At 49.6% G+C, this 18,798-nt stretch overlaps 1 protein-coding gene, 1 long non-coding RNA gene and 1 other non-coding gene across 8 annotated transcripts, besides 9 other annotated features; 2 read left to right on the top strand and 1 right to left on the bottom strand.

Moving 5' to 3' along the window:
- Positions 1-2,983: 2,983 nt before the first annotated feature.
- Positions 2,984-13,971, bottom strand: LOC112268225 (uncharacterized). Of its 2 annotated transcripts, none has more exons than XR_007066048.1 (2): positions 4,913-13,971; positions 2,984-4,476 (listed from the first exon to the last, which is right to left on the bottom strand). It is a non-coding gene; the product is annotated as an uncharacterized LOC112268225 (long non-coding RNA). The 2 variants fall into 2 exon arrangements; XR_007066049.1 differs by having other exon boundaries at positions 6,326-13,971.
- Positions 3,681-3,849: a silencer, noted in NCBI's record as "fragment chr1:43844005-43844173 (GRCh37/hg19 assembly coordinates)". NCBI's record gives its function as "represses an EF-1alpha promoter that drives an FKBP-Casp9 reporter gene in an ReSE screen in K562 erythroleukemia cells {active_cell/tissue: K562}" and the evidence as "EXISTENCE:reporter gene assay evidence [ECO:0000049][PMID:32094911]".
- Positions 8,355-9,554: an enhancer, noted in NCBI's record as "P300/CBP strongly-dependent group 1 enhancer chr1:43838300-43839499 (GRCh37/hg19 assembly coordinates)". NCBI's record gives its function as "activates an origin of replication core promoter dependent on BRD2, BRD4, P300/CBP, MED14 and CDK7 cofactors, with strong dependence on P300/CBP, by STARR-seq in HCT116 cells {active_cell/tissue: HCT116}" and the evidence as "EXISTENCE:reporter gene assay evidence [ECO:0000049][PMID:35650434]".
- Positions 12,718-12,903: a silencer, noted in NCBI's record as "fragment chr1:43834951-43835136 (GRCh37/hg19 assembly coordinates)". NCBI's record gives its function as "represses an EF-1alpha promoter that drives an FKBP-Casp9 reporter gene in an ReSE screen in phorbol 12-myristate 13-acetate-treated (for megakaryocytic differentiation) K562 erythroleukemia cells {active_cell/tissue: K562(+PMA)}" and the evidence as "EXISTENCE:reporter gene assay evidence [ECO:0000049][PMID:32094911]".
- Positions 13,323-13,402: an enhancer, noted in NCBI's record as "active region_917". NCBI's record gives its function as "activates an Ori minimal core promoter by ATAC-STARR-seq in GM12878 lymphoblastoid cells {active_cell/tissue: GM12878}" and the evidence as "EXISTENCE:reporter gene assay evidence [ECO:0000049][PMID:35858748]".
- Positions 13,843-14,522: a silencer, noted in NCBI's record as "silent region_782". NCBI's record gives its function as "represses an Ori minimal core promoter by ATAC-STARR-seq in GM12878 lymphoblastoid cells {active_cell/tissue: GM12878}" and the evidence as "EXISTENCE:reporter gene assay evidence [ECO:0000049][PMID:35858748]".
- Positions 13,843-14,730: a biological region, named in NCBI's record as "H3K27ac-H3K4me1 hESC enhancer GRCh37_chr1:43833124-43833858".
- Positions 13,996-14,730: an enhancer, noted in NCBI's record as "H3K27ac-H3K4me1 hESC enhancer chr1:43833124-43833858 (GRCh37/hg19 assembly coordinates)". NCBI's record gives its function as "activates a minimal SCP1, AML or CMV promoter by ChIP-STARR-seq in primed H9 embryonic stem cells {active_cell/tissue: H9 hESC(primed)}" and the evidence as "EXISTENCE:reporter gene assay evidence [ECO:0000049][PMID:30033119]".
- Positions 14,172-18,782, top strand: ELOVL1 (ELOVL fatty acid elongase 1). 5 transcript variants are annotated; one of them, NR_046117.2, is made up of 8 exons: positions 14,172-14,268; positions 16,560-16,619; positions 16,807-16,997; positions 17,175-17,255; positions 17,389-17,445; positions 17,536-17,568; positions 17,723-17,859; positions 18,046-18,782. NR_046117.2 is itself a non-coding variant. In NM_022821.4 (8 exons), the coding sequence occupies exons 2-8, from the start codon at positions 16,574-16,576 to the stop codon at positions 18,265-18,267; spliced, it is 840 nt and encodes a 279-aa protein (NP_073732.1). In that variant the 5' UTR covers positions 14,172-14,268; positions 16,560-16,573; the 3' UTR covers positions 18,268-18,782. The 5 variants fall into 5 exon arrangements, 4 of the variants coding, with proteins under 4 accessions (NP_073732.1, NP_001243331.1, NP_001243330.1 ...); NM_022821.4 differs by having other exon boundaries at positions 17,536-17,641; NM_001256399.2 differs by lacking the exon at positions 14,172-14,268 and adding an exon at positions 14,469-14,697 and having other exon boundaries at positions 17,536-17,641.
- Positions 14,731-15,465: an enhancer, noted in NCBI's record as "H3K27ac-H3K4me1 hESC enhancer chr1:43832389-43833123 (GRCh37/hg19 assembly coordinates)". NCBI's record gives its function as "activates a minimal SCP1, AML or CMV promoter by ChIP-STARR-seq in naive H9 embryonic stem cells {active_cell/tissue: H9 hESC(naive)}" and the evidence as "EXISTENCE:reporter gene assay evidence [ECO:0000049][PMID:30033119]".
- Positions 15,783-15,872: a silencer, noted in NCBI's record as "silent region_781". NCBI's record gives its function as "represses an Ori minimal core promoter by ATAC-STARR-seq in GM12878 lymphoblastoid cells {active_cell/tissue: GM12878}" and the evidence as "EXISTENCE:reporter gene assay evidence [ECO:0000049][PMID:35858748]".
- On the top strand, positions 17,468-17,535 carry MIR6734 (microRNA 6734). The gene has a single exon (NR_106792.1). It is a non-coding gene; the product is annotated as a microRNA 6734 (primary transcript).
- Positions 18,783-18,798: the final 16 nt, after the last annotated feature.

Below are 18,798 nucleotides of genomic sequence, written 5' to 3'. Positions count from 1 at the left end.
CCAGGCAGGACGGAGGCTGAGTCCTTCCAAACGCCCACCCTGGGTCAGCTCCTGATTACTGTCCAGATGAACTACGAAGGAGTGTACATTCTCTTCCATCTGCCTTTCCTATCTGCTCCAGAATTAGGGGAATAGCCTACTGAAGTTTAGCATTGGGCCAGGAGTAGGAACAGGGGATGTGGTCCTTTTCTGTTCAGTCTTGAGGGTTCACAGTGCCTGCTTATGGAGGCTCGATGTGGCTCTTGCCTGGAAACCTCAAACACATGGGGACTAACCCTTGGAAAGGGCTTGCCACTGTGCAGATGGGGCTTTATGATTGGAACAGAAGGCAAACTCCAACGCATCTGATGGGACCATGGTGCCCCATCACTTCAGCATGTGTTTTGTCCCACAAGACAAAGTTCCTTTCTTCTTCCCTTTAACTTCTCTTTTTTTTTGAGCTCCATGTGTCACTGAGGCAGCTCTTGGGTTCCTGTTGTGGTCTCTCAATGAGTCACATGCCATTTGGACATGGCAGCTTCCCTAAGTACATCGTGGACAAGGCATCTCACTTCCCTAAGCCTCAGTTTTCTCACTTGGTGATCCCAGTGATCCTTTTTAGGTCTAAAGTCTGTGGCAATGATTTTCAAACCCATTTATCCCCAGGCATTTTGTTTTGTTTTGTTTTCCTTGGTGCATGACTGTTACATAAATAGGCCAAAATTTTCCTAGATAAGCCCCCAAGTCCCTCAGACTCCTATAAACTGTTCCTGAAGTTCCCTCGCTGTCACCTACACCTTAACATACCAACACCCTTGTAGACCACAACCTTGAAACTGTTTTCTAAAACATCTTTCTCTAAGTGAAGATTCATCAAAGAGATGGTAAGTTACCACAAAGTTATCACAAGTTACAAGTTCTGACATACCTTGTGTGTTAGAAGTCGCCCTCCCCCTCACACATCTCTCTCTCCTTGGGCAAGATACATGTACCAAAGAGACTCCTCCAGTATAGGCAATAAATTATACTTCTTCCACATGAAGATAACCTTTCCTACTGAATCAAATATAAGTGCCTTGGGATGCTCGTCTTCCTATGTTTTCTCTGCCATTCCACTGCTTTCCCTAATTCTCACCCTAATTTCCCTAGTTTGTGGTCATTTTGATTCTTCATCTTTTCTTGCCCACATTCCCTACGTAGATATCCTTTGTTCATTTTTTTTTTTTTTTTTGAGACAGGGTCTCACTCTGTCATCCAGGCTTGAGTGCAGTGGCACAATCACCTCTCACTGTGATCCTGCAACTCAGGTGGTCCTCTAGGCTCAAGTGATCCTCCCACCTCTCAGCCTCCCAAGTAGCTGGGACCACAGGCATGTGCCACCATGCCCAGCTAATTTTTAAATTATTATTATTTTTAATGGAGACAGGGTCTCTATGTTGCCCTGGCTGGTCTCAAACTCCTGAGCTCAAGCGATCCTCCCACCTCAGCCTCCCAAAGTGCTGGGATTACAGGTGTGAGCCACCACACCCAGTCTATCCTTCATTCTTTTTGCCAGTTTCTCTGGGCTACATTTCATGGCCTTAGATAGTGCCATTTTAGTGTCTCTTCCATGTTAAAAGATCCTTCTTAACCCTACATCCCCTCTCACTGACTCACTCGCGCCATGCTCTTGAAACAAAGTGCTTAGAATCACTGTTTCTTTTACCTCCCATTCACTTTTCAACCCCTGTGTTTGGGCTTCTACTTCCACCACTCCTCAGAAACTCAGAGATCACTGTTGACCTAATGGCTAAATCCAGAGTTTTTTCAATCCTCATAGTAATGTATCTGCAGCATTTAATGCTGACCATTTCCTTTAGTCTCTTTCTCCCCCATGGCTTCTATGGCACATGCTCTCCTTGTTCATCCTCCTCTCTGGCCATTCCTTCTCTGCAGCTTTTGGACTTTTATACTTCTTCCTGCTTCTTAAATGTTATTCTCTAGGACTTGTCCTTAACCCCCTTTTCTTCTTCTTCTACCTGCTTTCTGTGACCACCACTTTTATGTGCATAATTTAAGCGAGTTTTATTTTCAGCTCAGACCTCTTTGCTGAGCTGCAGATTCCTGATGGATATCTCTACCTGTATGATCCACAGCTGGTTGAATGTCCAAATCCAGTTATTCTAGCCTACACACCTGTTTCTCTTCTAAGCCAGGAATATGGAAACCATTCTAAATTATTCTCCCTCTGGGTCCCCAACCCCCTCATACCTAATCAGATACTAAATCCTACCAATTCTGTCTCCCCAGTGTCCATCCACCCTGTCCTACAGTTTAGGCTCTAGGCCTCTCTTACTAAAAGTATTGTTCAGACTCCATATCTCTAGCCATGCCCACTCTAACTCATCTTCCAAAAGGCTACAGATAGGTCTTTCTAAATTGCAGATCTGATCACATTACTCCCCTGATTAAAATCCTTTATCTCCAGTCCTGCCCACTTTAACTTGTCTTCCAAAAGGCTGCCAGATAGGTCTTTCTGAACTGCAGATCTGATCACATTATTCCGTTGATTAAAAGCCTTTTGATAGTTTACTCCCCATGTAGGGTGGGTGTGCCAGACATACTGAAAATCACAAGATAAAATCTTCCTGGAATGTTCATTTTAAGGGTAATTTAAAACAGAATACACATTTAACATGTATTGTTATTTTATTATTTTGAGACATGGTCTGTCTCACTGTTACCCAGACTAGAGTGCAGTGGCGCGATCTTGGCTCACTGCAACCTCCGCCTCTCAGGCTCAAGCGATCCTCCCACTTCAGCCTCCCAAGTAGCTGGGACTACAGACACTCGCTACCATACCTGGCTAATTTTTGTATTTTTGGTAGAGATGGGGGCATATGGACAACATACCTGGTGGGTGGGTTGGTAGGGGTGGGTGTGCCAGGCATACTGAAAATTACAAGGTAAAATCATCCTGGAATGTTCATTTTACTTAAGAGTAATTTAAAACAGAGAACACACATTTAGCATGCATTATTATTTTATTTTGAGACACGGTCTCACTGCGTCATACAGGTTAGAGTGCAGTGGTGCGATCTTGGCTCACTGCAACCTCCATCTCCCAGCTCAAGTGATCCTCCCACCTCAGCCCCCAAGTGGCTGTGACTACAGGCGTGCGCCACCATACCAGGCTAATTTTTTAATTTTTGGTAGAGATTGCTTTTGCCACATTGCCCAAGCTGGTCTCAAACTCCTGAGCTCAAGTGATCCTCCTGCCTCAGCCTCCCAACATGCTGGGATTATAGGCATGAGCCACCACACCCAGCCAGCATGCATGCATTATTAAGAAAAAATAGTCTTCAAAGAATTCCTACTAGTCTGAACAGCTTCAGACTAAGCCACCAGATTCCCTAGGGATATTTATTTACTCTTTTTGGCCATTACATTTACTTCATTGGAAAAACTTAAAAAATAGCTCAGATTTTCTGGAAAGGCAAGTAAGATTCTGTGTGATGCAGCCCCCTGCCTCCTTCTTATTGTCATGCCACCCACTCAATTCCCAAGCCATCAACATTGCTTGCAGTTTCCTGAATGTGACAGCTCTTTCAAACCTCCATTCCTTTATTCCCACTGTTCCCTCTGCATGGAACACTGCCCTATCATTCTGTCTGATGAATACCCAATCATCTTTCAAAAATCAGCTCACAAGTCACCCCACTCTTGCCGGTGCAGTGGTTCACGCCTGTCATCCCAGTACTTTGGGAGGCTGAGGCGTGAGGACTGCATGAGCCCAGGAGTTCGAGACCAGCCTGGACAGCACACGAAGACCCTGTCTCTACTAAAAAATTAGCCAAGTGTGGTGGCACACACCTGTGGTCCCAGCCATTCGGGAGGCTGAGGTGAGAGGATTGCTTGGGCCTGGGAGGTCAAGGCTGCAGTAAGCTGTGGTTGTGCCGCCGCACTCCAGCCTGGGCAACAGAGCCAGACCTTGTCTCAAAAAAAAAAAAGAAAAAAAAGAAAAAAAAAAGTCACCCCTGTGTGAAGTTGTGAAGTTTTCCAGTAACCCACAACTCAATACCACTCCCACCAGGTAAGATTAATTACCTCCTCTTTTATGCTCCACATTTGTACCTTGTACAAACTTATTCTAGCTCCTGGTGCACTTTATTGTCTCCCAGATTCAAGCATCCTGAACTTTGAATCCAGCTCTTCCACCTGAGAGCTGAGTGATCTTAGGCAAGATAATGTGTGTGCCTGGCATACTATAGCATCTAGCCCATATCATAAACACTATAAATGGTAGTGCTACTATTATTACTATTATGATTTGTCTTTGGAGAAGTAGTATAAAATAACATTTTGATTTAAAAAGCAGGTTTTCGTGCCAGACTGCCCCAGTTCAAATCCTAGCTGTGCTACTTACCAGCTGTGTGGCCTTGGGCAAGTTAGTTCACTTCTCTATGCCTTTGCCTCCTTATTCCTGGGGTCGATAATAATGGCTATTTCATAGGGTTGCTGTGAGGTTTAAATGGGTTAATATATATAAAGTGCTTAGGATAATGCTGACAACAGTAGAAGCACAATACATATTATCTATTCATAGGGTAACATCTGGAACTCTCTGCTCTCAGTGATTGTTGCTTGAAAAAAACGATTGACCAATTCCTCTAAGAGGTCATAACCTCTCCTTCCCTCTGCAGCTCCCCTGTGCTCATGTCTCAGGAGCTTAGCCTCAGGAGACGCTTTTTGTGCATATTTCGTCCCCCATGGTATCTCCCTAGTAATGTGTGGAGTAGGTACTGGAGCATTTTTACATTGGATTACCTGACATGATAAGTCAATTTCAAATCTAGTTTTGTGAATTGTATTTCTCCCACCTAGTTGTTGCCTACGTTCTTTCATTAAGAAATTGTGTTCTTTTGACTTGAGGCCAAATGATAAGACCTCTCACCTGAAATGTTCTTTTTCATGCCTTCTGAACTGTATCTCTTCCCTGTCTAGACTAGCTAACCACTCAGTTCCATAGTTTTTCTACAGTCAGTCCCTAAAGGAGGCCCTTCACCACACATAGCTTTCTCTGTGCAGTTGTGATGAATTCTTGCCTCGCTTGTCTGTGCTTGCTAGGTCGGGCTCAGTTCTTCGTGGGTGGCTGTGTGTAATTCACTGGAGATCAAAACCGGAGCTCTTTGGTGCCATGCTTGCCTCTCTTCCCGCCACACTGACCACCAGTCCTTCAGACTTTGTTTTGTCATGGCATACTCTACGACTCTTGCCACTTTGCCATAAGTGCTCTCAGCTGTAGCCATAAGGAAATAGCTGGGAGTCAGGTGTTGCCTCATACCTCCATGGCTTATACATGCTCTGCCCTACGCAGAATACCCTCTCTCTTTCCTGCTCCAAACCCCTTATTCACCTGATAAACAATTCATCCTTCCAGTTCACATGTCACCTACTCCTGTAAAGTCTTTACTACTTCCTCCCCTGTACACTTGACCATTCTTAAACTGTACCTCTCCTGTGCCCTGTATACTTCCATTCTAGCACCCATAGTTCTATTGCAGTTTATTTATTTTCAAGTTCATATCCTGGTTTGAACACTTATCCATTGTGTGGCCTTAGAAAGTTACTTCACTTACAAGAACCTCAGTTTCCAGCTCTATAGAATGGGATTATAGTACCAACTTCAAAGAGCACCTTCAACAAAACATATTTAAAGTTAAATTTAAATCTTTAGGTAGCTCTTAATTTTCTACCAGATAAAGTCCAAGCTTCTTAAAAAGGCCCTTCAGGCAAATAGTCAACACTCAAGTGGTAACTGTTAGTCTCTTTTACTTTCTCCTGAGCAATCTCATTTTTATGTGATGGTCTAGTAGACTGTTTTGATTGCAAGACATTACAATTAAACTAGCCTAATCAAAATTACAATTAAACTGGCTTAATAAAAAAAAAAAAAAAGAGAACCAGCTGTATTTGGGTTATGTGGATGCCTCTAGGTGGGCTCAGAGGCTCAAATGTTGTCTGGACTCTGTCTCTGCATTTCTCCACTCTACATTATTCGAACTCATCTCATGGGAGAGCTCTGGTTTTGCTTGGATTATGTGCCATTAGGAGCTTGGACTGGGAGGAAGTAGGGGAGACTACCAGCATTAATGAGCCAATGGGGTAGGGAATTTCTCAAAGGAAATGAAAGCAGGGGATGGGAAAGTTTCTGAATACAGCCAAAACTAGAGCTACCACACTCCAGTCCACTTTGTGTGGTTTCACCTCTGTATAGAGAATCCTCAGATTTTTTTCTCAAGCTCTGTCCTTTCTCCTGAATGCACAGTATTGTGTTTTAGATTGCTTGTTGAATGGGCCATCTCACCTCAAACTCAGGATGTCCCAAACTGCATTCATTTTCTTCATCCTGTCCCACCTGAGTTATCCATCTGGACATCTGCTGTCAGTTCTGGGTCCTCTTTCTGTTGTATCCCCTTTTCTTCCTTCTCACTGCCATTCTTCTAGGTCAGGCCTTTGTTATGTCACACCCAGACCTCTGAGCTGGCTCCCAGCTGATATCCCTGCCTTCTTCTGCTTTCCTCTTGATAATATACCTTGCTGTTGCCAAGTTTGTCTTTTTTTCTTTCTTTCTTCTGAGACAGTCTTGCTCTGTCGCCCAGGCTGGAGTGCAGTGGTATGATCTTGGTTCACTGCAACCTCCACCTCCCAGGTTCAAGCGATTCTCCTGCCTCAGCTTTCTAAGTAGCTGGGACTACAGGCACACGCCACCACACCCACCTAATTTTGTATTTTTAGTAGAGATTGGGTTTCACCATGTTGGTCCAGGCTGGTCTCTAACTCCTGACCTCAATTGATCCACCCACCTTGGCCTCCCAAATTGTTGGGATTACAAGTGTGAACCACTATGCCCGTCCCCAAGTTTGTCTTTTTAAAATACAGTGGGGATCATATCAGCCTGCCACTTAAAATCTTCAGAGACGGGCCGGGCGTGGTGGCTCACGCCTGTAATCCCAACACTTTGGGAGGTCGAGGCGGGCGGATCACAAGGTCAGGAGATCGAGACCATCCTGGCTAACACAGTGAAACCCTGTCTCTACTGAAAATACAAAAAATTAGCCGGGTGTGGTGGCGAGCACCTGTAGTCCCAGCTACTCGGGAGGCTGAGGCAGGAGAATGGTGTGAACCCAGGAGGCGGAGCTTGCAGTGAGCCAAGATCGCACCACTGCACTCCAGCCTGGGCGACAGAGTGAGACTCTGTCGCAAAAAAAAAAAAAAAAATCTTCAGAGACACCCCAATATAAAGTAAACTCATTTTTTAAAATTCAAAACATTTCATGATCTGGGGCCACTCATTAACCTTCTATCATATGAAGGCCTTTCGTTAGCCATATCCTTTAGCCCAAGGGTCCCCAACCCCTGGGCCATGGACCAGTACTGGTCTGTGACCTGTTAGGAACCAGGCCGCACAGCAGAAGGTGAGTGGTGGGCAAGTCAGCAAGCATTAATGCCTGAGCTCCGCCTTCTGACAGGTCAGCAGCAGCATTAGATTCTCATAGGAGTGGGAACCCTATTGTGAACTGTGCATGCAAGGGATCTAGGCTGTGCACTCCTTATGAGAATCTAATGAATGCCTGATGATCTGAGGTGGAACAGTTTCCTCCTGAAACCATCCCCCTGCCCCTTGCCCCCCACATCACCACAAGCCCCCATCCTTGGAAAAATTGTCTTCCACAAAACGAAACTGGTCCCTGGTGCCAAAAAGGTTGGGGACTGTTGCTTTAGCCAAACAGAATCCCTTGCAATTCTCTACCTGTCCTGTGTTTTCCTATATCCATTCCTTTGTCTGTGCTTTTTCCTCAGCCTGAAACACCTGTGTTGCTTTCACCTTACCCGGTCTGTGACCTTGAGCAAAGCCTTCAACCTCTGATTCCAGTTTTTTTTTTATCTATTAAGAGGTGATCATAGAACTTACCTGACAGGATGGAAACATTCGAACATAGGGAATGCAGCTGGCTTCATCCTTGCCAGAAAAAGTACTAATAGAATTATAAGCTTCTCATTCCCCTCTTGGTCCTTCTCACGTGTCTTCTGGATCTTGCTAACTCCCTTTCCTCCATCTTGATAGCATCCCCTGGTTTGCCCCCTAACAAAAAGCCTCTCCTTTCTCTCCGGAGCTTTTCCTGCAGGTTCTATCACATCCCTTTCCCCGTTCCTAAGTTTCTTTTGTTCAGTTCAATGAACAGTGAATGATACCCATAGTATGTAGGCACTGGTTACCCACTGATGGATCAGACATTGGCCCTGACTTTCAGGGTTCCAGGCCAACTCTCAAATTGCAGAAGATACAAAGAATGTTTGCATGCAGTCTCTCCCCTCTGCCAGCCCGATGTCTTTCCAGCCCTGGTTCCTTCAGCCAAGGTCCCAGCCTGCTTTGGAAGAGGATACCAGCTAGCTGGCTGGGGCCCAAGAAACATGCAGAATTATTAACTGGCAAACCCTTTGCCCTCATCTTCACTCTCTCGTCCTCACAGGCTAACCCTCCCATCAGCTCTTCTGTGTGGGTACTGTGTAGGAAGTGTCCTTTGTCCTTTACAGGATGGAGAATGGAGAAGCTTGACACAGCCCCCAGGAGGCTGCTTCCATCTCCACCTGCCAGTTCTGTTGCCCTTCAATCTGGACCTTCAGTTCCTATTCATAGCTGATACCCCGTGTCTTATTGTCTTTTCCCTCCACTCTTCTGCTGACTCACTCATGAACATGCAGGCATACCTTTTTCCATTTTTTTCCTCATTGCCATTTCTGCTTCTCTATCCTACCTCCATTTAATATTTGTGCTGAAACATATAAAGCCTCAAAAAATCATGGGAATTGAGTTCATACAGACAGTGGTTTTCAGGCTGAACTTTTAGAAACAACATCCATGGTTTCTCTTCTTGAGAAAGAGGATGGAGACGGGCCCTTTGAAGAGCAGTGAGTGAGGAGTGAGTCAGACAGGGTGGGACCTGGGGGAAGTTGCCACCTCATTTCCCATTAGTCAGGAAGGCTCCATGAAATGGATGGAATTTTAGTTGTTGGACTGGGTTTTCTTTCCCCACTACACCTGGCCTTCATCCTTATCAAACCTATGAGTTCCTTGACCTCTTCAGTTTATCCAGTTTATCAGTGTACCCTTGGTTTAGTTTCATCTACTCAGCCTTCACTGAACCCTCTCCCAAGCAAGGCCTTCCATCTCGCTTCCCTGCAGATCCCAAATGGTCCTATTTCTGCTCTCCTGACTCCCACTCACTTAGCTCTGCGGAAAACATCACAGCCTTCTAAACTGGTACACTCCTTATGGTCTCCCACCCAGTGGGGCCTTCCACTTAGCTGTTCACTAAGCTTTCCCAGCATTCCATCATCAGTTACTCCAGAGTGAACCACTTCCCTACAATTCTTTATCCCATCACCTACCCATCCCCCATGTTCAGCAACTACCTAACATCTGACTGAAGGAAAAAATAGACTCCTTTAGACAAAACTCCCTCAATTTCCTCCCATTCCACTGACGAACTTACTCTATTTCCGTTCTCCTTAGCCAGAGGCTACTCTCTTCATGTGTATGCTGGATCCCATTGTCACTCTCCATACAGCATATAAACATGCTTTGGCCTCTTCCCATTAAGAACAACCATCTAGCATCAATCTGGAGGTGAGAGCCAGGCACTGATATTTTAAAAGCTCCCCAGTTGATTCTAGTTGCAGCCAGGGCTGAAAAACATATACAGAATAAAATCCAGTCTTCTTGCTGTGGCATACAAGGCTCTTCATAAACTGACTCATGCCTACCTTTCTTGCCCTCCCATATGCCCTCTGAACTGGAGTCATACCAAACTACTTAGCGTTCCCAAACCCGCCACATCTCTTGCTTCTATGCCTTCACATACATGCTTCGCTCCACTTAGAATGCCTTTCCCTGCTTCCTAGAAAGTGTCCTTTTTTTTCTTTCTTTTTTTTTTTTTTGAGATGGAGTCTCGCTCTTGTCGCCCAGGCTGGAGTGCAGTGGTACAACCTCAGCTCACTGCAACCTCCGCCTCCTGCCTTCAAGTGGTTCTCCTGCCTCAGCCTCCTGAGTAGCTGGAATTTCAGGCGCCTGCCACCAGGCCTGGCTAATTTTTGTGTATTTTTTAGTAGAGACAGGGTTTCACCATGTTGGCCAGTCTGGTCTCGAACTCCTGACCTCAGGTGATCCACCGACCTCAGCCTCCTAAAGTGCTGGGATTACAGGCATGAGCCACCTTACGCGGCCTAGAAAGTGACCTTTAATGCTCAATTAAGTGTCATTTTTGCATCACCTTTAAGAATTAGCCTCCATACTGAGTTAAGGTGCCCCCGCACCCCAGTGCTTTCATAACCCTCTGGGTTTATCTCTATGGGAACACTCACCACATATATAATTGCTCATCTATATGTCTGTCTTTTCCATCAGACTGAGTGTTTTGCAGGAACCCCAGGGCCATGAAGATGCCATTTGGTAGGATTTGGGGCTAAGTGGTCTATATCAGATATTTGAGCATCCTCAAATATTTGGCAAACATCCATTCACTGTTTGCCAAACTGAACAAAAGAAACTCAGGAAGGGGGAGAGGGGTATGATAGAACCTGGGACAAGAGCTGAACAACTGTCTTTGAGCATGTTCATTCATGTAGTCAGTCAGCATTTATTGAGGGCCTGCCATGGTCATTTACAAATGTGGTCCAGGTAAATAAAAACACAGTTGAAGTTTCCTATCACTGCTGTGTTTGGCCTCTGGGACAGTTTCATCATCTATAATAGTCTGCTTTGTCTCTAGTGCACTCTTATGATGGACATTTAATCCAAAATCTCTCAATAGTGCTCTCACAACAGTGGTTTGCACACAGTAACTGTTTAGGAAAGATTATTAAAAGAATGCTCATGAATCTACATATAAGTATGTACCTTCCTGATACTTTGGGCACTTTCCCACCTTGTCCATTAAATGTTGAGACAGAAACAGTGCTGAACACCTTACATGTGTTATCTCTTTCAGTCTTTACAGCAATCCTATGAGATAGGAACTCTTATTGCTCCAATTTTATAGAGGTTCAGCAACTTACATAAGGTCACACAGGTACTAATTGGAACATTTAAACTCATGGCTTTGGAGTCAGGTGTGAACCTGAAGTCATTAGAGTATACCTGGAACACAGGCTTTCAATAAATATTTATGGACTCAGTGATACTGTTCCCAAGGGAAATGGAAAGGCTTTCTAATTCTTATTGTCCTCTCCACTTGACTCTGGTTCCCTTGGCCTCTCTTCCTTTCCCACGTCATCCCATTCACACTAACATTCATTCAACAAAGGTAGAGGGCCAACTGAGTACCAGATAACGGGCCAGATGCTGGAGATACAGAGATGACAAAACATGGCCCATGCTGAGAGGAGCTTATAGTTTTGCGATGCAGATAAGCATATAATTACAATTGTGGGAGCAAGAGGAGGGAGTGATTTACTGCCTAGGAGACCTGACTGTTCCTTGTGCTGAGCCAGGGGGCAAGGTTTGAGGGTTGAGGGGGGTATGAAAGATGCTGACATCCTCGGGGAATGGTTAAAGCACTGGGTGGGGCCCAGGAGAGTGTCACAGGTAGAATGAGAGGACAAGGCAGGGACCAGATCAGTTAGGACCTTAGTGTTGGAGCCTTTTAAACAGTGAATTCTGCCATTTCCTTTCAAGGATGGGTACTAATAGGCTGGGTCATATCTGTACTTTGGCTCAGACCTCTTACCTAAACTCTAGGACTAAACTTTCACATAGCTATATCCCACCATTTGTGGAGTTATTTATTTATTTATTTATTTATTTAGAGACAAGGTTTCTATCACTCAGACTGGAGTGCAGTGGCGCAGTCTTGGCTTACTGCAACCTCCACTTCCTGGGCTCAAGTCATCCTCCCACCTCAGCCTCCAGAGTAGCTGGGACTATAGGCATGCATCACCATGCCCAGCTGATTTTTTGTATTTTTTGTAGAGCCGGGGTCTCACGATGTTGCCCAGGCTCGAACTTGTGAGCTCAAGTGATCTGCCTGCCTCAGCCTTACAAAGTGCTAGGATTACAGGTGTGAGCCTCCATCCCCAGCCTATCCTACCATTTATGAACATCTTTTTTTTTTTTTTTTTTTTTTCTGGAGACGAGTCTTGCTCTGTTGCCCAGGCTGTAGTGCAGTGGCATGATCTCGGCTTACTGCACCCTCTGCCTCCCAGGTTCAAGCAATTCTCCTGCCTCAGCCTCCCAAGTAGCTGGGACAACAGGCGCACACCACCATGCCCAGCTAATTTTTTTTTAAATGTATTTTAGTAGAGATGGGGTTTCACTGTGTTGCCCAGGCTGGTCTCCGAATTCCCTTTTTTTTTTTTTTTTGAGACGGAGTCTTGCCCTGCACTCCAGGCTGGAGTGCAGTGGCTTGATCTCGGCTCACTGCAACCTCCGCCTCCCAGGTTCAAGCAATTCTTCTGCCTCAGCCTCCCGAGTAGCTGGGATTACAGGCTTGCGCCACCATGCCTGGCTAATTTTTGTATTTTCAGTAGAGACGGGGTTTCACCATGTTGGCCAGGCTGTTCTCAAACTCCTGACCTCAGGTGATCTGCCCGCCTCAGCCTCCCAAAGTGCTGGGATTACAGGCGTGAGCCAACGCACCCGGCCTTTTTTTTTTTTTTTTTTTTTTTTTTGAGACAGAGTCTTGCTCTATTGCTCAGGCTGGAGTGCAGTGGTGCGATCTCGGCTCACTGCAAGCTCTGCCTCCCGGGTTCACACCATTCTGTCTCAGTCTCCCGAGTAGCTGGGACTACAGACGCCCGCCACCACGCCCGGCTAATTTTTTGTATTTTTAGTAGAGATGGGGTTTCACCGTGTTAGCCAGGATGGTCTCGATCTCCTGACCTCGTGATCCGCCTGCCTTGGCCTCCCAAAGTGCTGGGATTACAGGCGTGAGCCACCGCGCCCGGCCTTTTTTTAAAAAAATGTGTTTATTTTCCTTGCGGAGCAGGGCTGCCCCATAAGCAGTGTGCCCAGAGTAGCCCAAATTCCCTAATTCTGTCCGCACTTACACCATCCAATCATACAAGCAGTTGTTAGATCGTTGTGTGCTACTGTTCCAGGGGCCGCTGGAGGTAGAAATTCCATTTCACTAAAATCTAGTCTGTCCTTTGCCCCCACTAGTTGAGTCCAGTTAGTGAGTGTGGAGGTGGGGGCTGGAGGTGTAGAAGAGATAAATAAATATATAGAGAGCCAGTCCAGCTGTCTGGAGGACATTGTCCGCCTCCTCCAATCCCATCAGTTGCCACATCTTCTTTGGTCAGGCTGGCTTTCTCACCTGGTCTCCTTTCTGTGCCCTCCTCACACTGGCTGCCAAAGTGATTCAGCCAGATAGACTGCAAGCCCCGTGAGTGCACGGACGGTGGGTGGTCCATAAACGTCTGATGAACTAATGATACAAGCTTGAATATAGTCTCCTAAAAAAATCTTTAGTTTCTCCTCTGCTTCTAGAATAAAAATCAGATCGCCCCATTTGGCCTTCAAGACCTACTACATTCAGCCACAGTCAGCTTCATTTCCCTTTTTTCCTTTCACTACCTCGAAGGCCAGATTAGCCAGTGATTCACTATGCTTGCCCCGGGCCACTTGTATCCTCTCACCTCCGTTCCAGGCAGCCCTCGCAGCAGATCCTAACGCTTAGGGCTCCTCCAAGTGTACAGGCTCGTGAGGCTTCCCTCCCGCTAAGACCAGTGCGCCCTCAGCACACGCAGTGTGGTCTCGCCCGCCGCTCTGCGCTCGCCCTGCAGGAGAGGGAGCTCTTTGAAGGCAAGGCCGAACCTCCCCCGAGCCCTGAGCTGGGCCTGCCGCCACAGATGTGCAGTCCTGCCGGGGAGCAGTCACCCGGGGACAGGGCCGGGCCCCGGGCTGCACGTCGGGAAGAGACAGCGTGCTCCTGAGGTGGCCAGGCCGCTGCAACTGGCCAGGGCGGGCCCGGGCGGCGAGGGAAGGGGTGGGAAGCCCGGGCCGCGGCGCTTCCTGCTGGGACCCGGCGGCACGCCCCTGCCCCCGCCCCGGCCGAGCCTGCGCTGCCGGCCTCCGGCCCTGCCGGCCGCCCAATCAGCGGGCGCCCCCCGCGCGGCCCGCCCCTCCCCCTCTGGTGACAGAAAGTCGGCCCAGCAGATGAGGAAGTGGCAGGCAGGCAGGCTGGCCCCGGGGACTTCTCTCTGGCCCTGCTCCCTCCGAGCGCTCCGCCGTTGCCCGCCTGGCCCCTACGGGTGAGTCTGGACCTTCCACGGACTCTCCACGTGCCGGCGCCCCCTGCCTGGCCAGCCCGGCCCAGCCCGGCCCAGCCCTGCCCTGCCCTGCCCAGGCTGTGGGCGAGGGTGTTCCCGGGGCCAGTGGGTGGGAGGTCCCAGCTCCCTGGGGCCGGGCCTCGCCAGCACCCTCCCTCCCCCACACCCCCGTCTCTGGCCCCCATTTGCCTACACCCGGGCCTTCCTCCACCACCCCTGCATTTACCTCTCTCCCTCCTCCTCTCCCCTCCCTCCCCCCGCTACCCTAACTTTGCCAGGCACCTTTTCCCTTCCATCCATCTTAAAGGAAGGAAGGGACGGGCTGAGTTCCCCGACGAGAGACACACCCAGATTTTCCTGCAGCTTGGGGAGAGGTCCTCCCAGGAGCCTTGGTCCCTCCTGGCCTGCCGGGTGTGTGGGTTGATATTGGGGGCTGGTGGTTGAGAGATAACAGGCTGGCTGGCTCCCATGTGTCAGGGAGGAACCTGTGTTGGCGCCCTCGCCCCGGCCTGGGCCCTGCCGGCGATGGGCGGCCAGCAAGCCCGATGGTGGGGGAGCAAGTAAGGAGGGGATCCGAGCGTGGCCAGGCAGCGCGCACACGTGTGTGAGTGGCCCCGCGGGTGAGCCCGTGCGTGTGCCTGGGCGGTGGCCGAGCTGCGTGAGGGCCGGGAGCCATGCGTGTCAGCCCACGGAGGTGTTGCGTGGTGTGTCAGGCAGGAGACGTGTGTGCCAGCCCTCGGCGTGGCACCTTCGCTGTTGGGGGTGGAGAGCTAGGTGAGAGGTGGGTGTGGACCGCAGGCTTGGGGCCTGACCACGGTGGGCCTAAAGAAGCCGGGCCTCCTGGAGGTGAGGGGTGTGCGGGGCAGGGAGGTGTCAGAGGTGCGCCTCTTCACTTGGCATCTGCAGAGGTGCTTCTCTGGAAGCAGGGAGTCTGGGGCACCTGCTGCCCTGGGCCCTGCTCTGTTCCAAGAATGCCTTGTCCCTCAGGGACTGTCAGTACCATGCTCTCCTGGGTCTGGCCAGAGGCTTTTGTGTCCCTGGGAGCCTTCCCCCGACATTCCTTCAGGCCCTGAGGGGGAGGGGGCCTAGCCCAACGGGGCCCCTCCCTGAGGGAGGGGAAGATTCCTGCGACCTCCCCCACTCCCCAACCCCTTCACATGCCACTGGCTTCCCTGCCCTTCCCAGGAAGGGAAGAGTGATTGTACCCATTCTGAAGTAGGACAAACTGAGCAGTTATGGCCGGCTTAGGAGAGGATGCTGGGTGTGGATTTTCAGCAGTGCTTTGGGCCAGGGCTGGGGCTGGGGCTGGGGTCAGAGGAGGTTTCTGGCTCAGAATCTAGGACCTTAGCTCATCAGGCTGGTCCCACGTGGGTGGGTGGGTGGCGAGTCTGGGGCTTTACTTGGCTTTCCCAATCCTGGTGGGTCCTGCTCCCCCAGGCACTGACCTGTGGCCCGGACCCACCCTCCACCCCCTGCACAGTACAGCAGGGGCGGGCAGAGGGCGGGGCTGCTGCCAGATCTAGTCAGACAGGTGGAGCCGCCGGGGCAGGAGTCTCAAAGAGCCAGGCTCCAGGAGAGGAAGGGCTCTGCGAGAGGAGAGAGGAGAGCGCTGGAGAGGAGAGGCTGGAGGTGAGAGTCCCAGGAAAGGCAGAGGAGAATCGTAGGGACATAAGTGTCCCAGCACAGGCAAGGAGGAATCCGAGGATAAGGTTCTGGAGGGACAGAAGGGCCCAGAGAGGTGAGAGTCCTGGCAGGGACAGGAGGGACCCTGGGGAGAAGAGAGTTCAGGAAGGGTCCAGAGGGATGGGAAGAGGAGAGGGCAGGAGAGGAGAGATTGAAGGGGAGAATCCCTGGAGAGAAGAAAGACCCAGAGCTGGGGAGGTGAGGGACTCGGGTGAGGAAGGGAGACGGAGTTCAAGAGCTCCCTGTTGGTGAGAAGGTAAGATTCTCCAGTAAGAGACCTGGAATTGAGAGTTATCTTGTGGAGGAAGAGGGGAAGGGAGGCCAGGAAGTAAAACTGTGGAGAGGAGAGGAGAGTAAGGTGTGGAGAGGAAGGGTGGAACAGCTCTTCCCAGGCAAGCAGGATGTGTGGGGAGCAGATGCCTCAACCAAACTGCCTCCTCCCCCTAGTTCCCAGTAATTCCTTCCTTTCACTGTTCTGTCCTTTCTGCAATGAGGCATTGCAGGTGTCTTGTCTGGTTCTGTGTCTTATCTCTGTGGGATGGGGGTGTGCAGTGGGATCTGTCTGACATCCGCCCTCTGTACCTCCCCAGAGTCCTTAGCCAGGATGGAGGCTGTTGTGAACTTGTACCAAGAGGTGATGAAGCACGCAGGTAAGACGCTATCCACCAGCCCTTTCCTTCCTTCTTTCCCGGGATCCCTGGATCTACGGCTGTCTTCTAATGGAGAGTTCCTATGAAACCCTTGATCCTGTGACCTGACCTCATGTCTGTAGACCCTTCAAATGAAGACCCTTCGAACCCTGTGACTCTTCCTGATTCCTTTGACCCTTATTCATAGATCCCCGGATCCAGGGCTACCCTCTGATGGGGTCCCCCTTGCTAATGACCTCCATTCTCCTGACCTACGTGTACTTCGTTCTCTCACTTGGGCCTCGCATCATGGCTAATCGGAAGCCCTTCCAGCTCCGTGGCTTCATGATTGTCTACAACTTCTCACTGGTGGCACTCTCCCTCTACATTGTCTATGAGGTGGGCCCCTGGGATGCCGGGCTTTAATTTCTGTCAGCAGGATAAGGAGCAGGCCATAGAGCCAGAGCATGGCATTTCTCCTTTCCAGAGAGGTTCAGATCCATGTCCTCAGCTAGCGAAGGGGAGGGATGGCTGGGAAGGGAGAACTCTGGTGGTCTAATCCACATCCCTTCCCAGTTCCTGATGTCGGGCTGGCTGAGCACCTATACCTGGCGCTGTGACCCTGTGGACTATTCCAACAGCCCTGAGGCACTTAGGGTAAGTAGGGGCTGGGGCTAGGTCATAAGCAACCTGGTAGATATGACCAGTTTGGGGCCTGTGCTCAAGGCCCAGTTTAGGGAGGCTCTTAGAATAGTGTATGAGGTCCTAAGGCTATCCCAACTTCTTGCAGATGGTTCGGGTGGCCTGGCTCTTCCTCTTCTCCAAGTTCATTGAGCTGATGGACACAGTGAGTAGTTATATGAGATGTGAGAACTTGAGGGGAGAATGAGGTGGAGAAGCCCAGGTTCTGAATCCCCTTCCCTCACTCTTCTCTCAGGTGATCTTTATTCTCCGAAAGAAAGACGGGCAGGTGACCTTCCTACATGTCTTCCATCACTCTGTGCTTCCCTGGAGCTGGTGGTGGGGGGTAAAGATTGCCCCGGGTGAGTGGTGAAGGCCACTATGGGAAAGGGTGGGCACCAGAGGCTGGACTCTGCTGACCCTGTCTTATTGTCCACTCACAGGAGGAATGGGCTCTTTCCATGCCATGATAAACTCTTCCGTGCATGTCATAATGTACCTGTACTACGGATTATCTGCCTTTGGCCCTGTGGCACAACCCTACCTTTGGTGGAAAAAGCACATGACAGCCATTCAGCTGGTGAGGGGCTTGGCCTGACTTACCTATAACCATCCCCCCACATTCCTAGCCTGGATCCTGCCTTTATCCAGTCTGTCTCACCTTTGACCCCATCTCTCCCTACTCAACGTTTGTCTCTTTCTCTACCCCCTCTTCCCCTCTAGTCCTCTCACTATTCCCTCTGACCCTGGTCTTTCTCTATCCTAGATCCAGTTTGTCCTGGTCTCACTGCACATCTCCCAGTACTACTTTATGTCCAGCTGTAACTACCAGTACCCAGTCATTATTCACCTCATCTGGATGTATGGCACCATCTTCTTCATGCTGTTCTCCAACTTCTGGTATCACTCTTATACCAAGGGCAAGCGGCTGCCCCGTGCACTTCAGCAAAATGGAGCTCCAGGTATTGCCAAGGTCAAGGCCAACTGAGAAGCATGGCCTAGATAGGCGCCCACCTAAGTGCCTCAGGACTGCACCTTAGGGCAGTGTCCGTCAGTGCCCTCTCCACCTACACCTGTGACCAAGGCTTATGTGGTCAGGACTGAGCAGGGGACTGGCCCTCCCCTCCCCACAGCTGCTCTACAGGGACCACGGCTTTGGTTCCTCACCCACTTCCCCCGGGCAGCTCCAGGGATGTGGCCTCATTGCTGTCTGCCACTCCAGAGCTGGGGGCTAAAAGGGCTGTACAGTTATTTCCCCCTCCCTGCCTTAAAACTTGGGAGAGGAGCACTCAGGGCTGGCCCCACAAAGGGTCTCGTGGCCTTTTTCCTCACACAGAAGAGGTCAGCAATAATGTCACTGTGGACCCAGTCTCACTCCTCCACCCCACACACTGAAGCAGTAGCTTCTGGGCCAAAGGTCAGGGTGGGCGGGGGCCTGGGAATACAGCCTGTGGAGGCTGCTTACTCAACTTGTGTCTTAATTAAAAGTGACAGAGGAAACCACGGAGGCTGTGTGTAT

This window comes from Homo sapiens, chromosome 1, assembly GCF_000001405.40.
Source record: "Homo sapiens chromosome 1, GRCh38.p14 Primary Assembly".
Lineage (NCBI taxonomy): Eukaryota > Metazoa > Chordata > Mammalia > Primates > Hominidae > Homo > Homo sapiens.
This window is presented reverse-complemented; position numbering and strand designations above follow the sequence as displayed.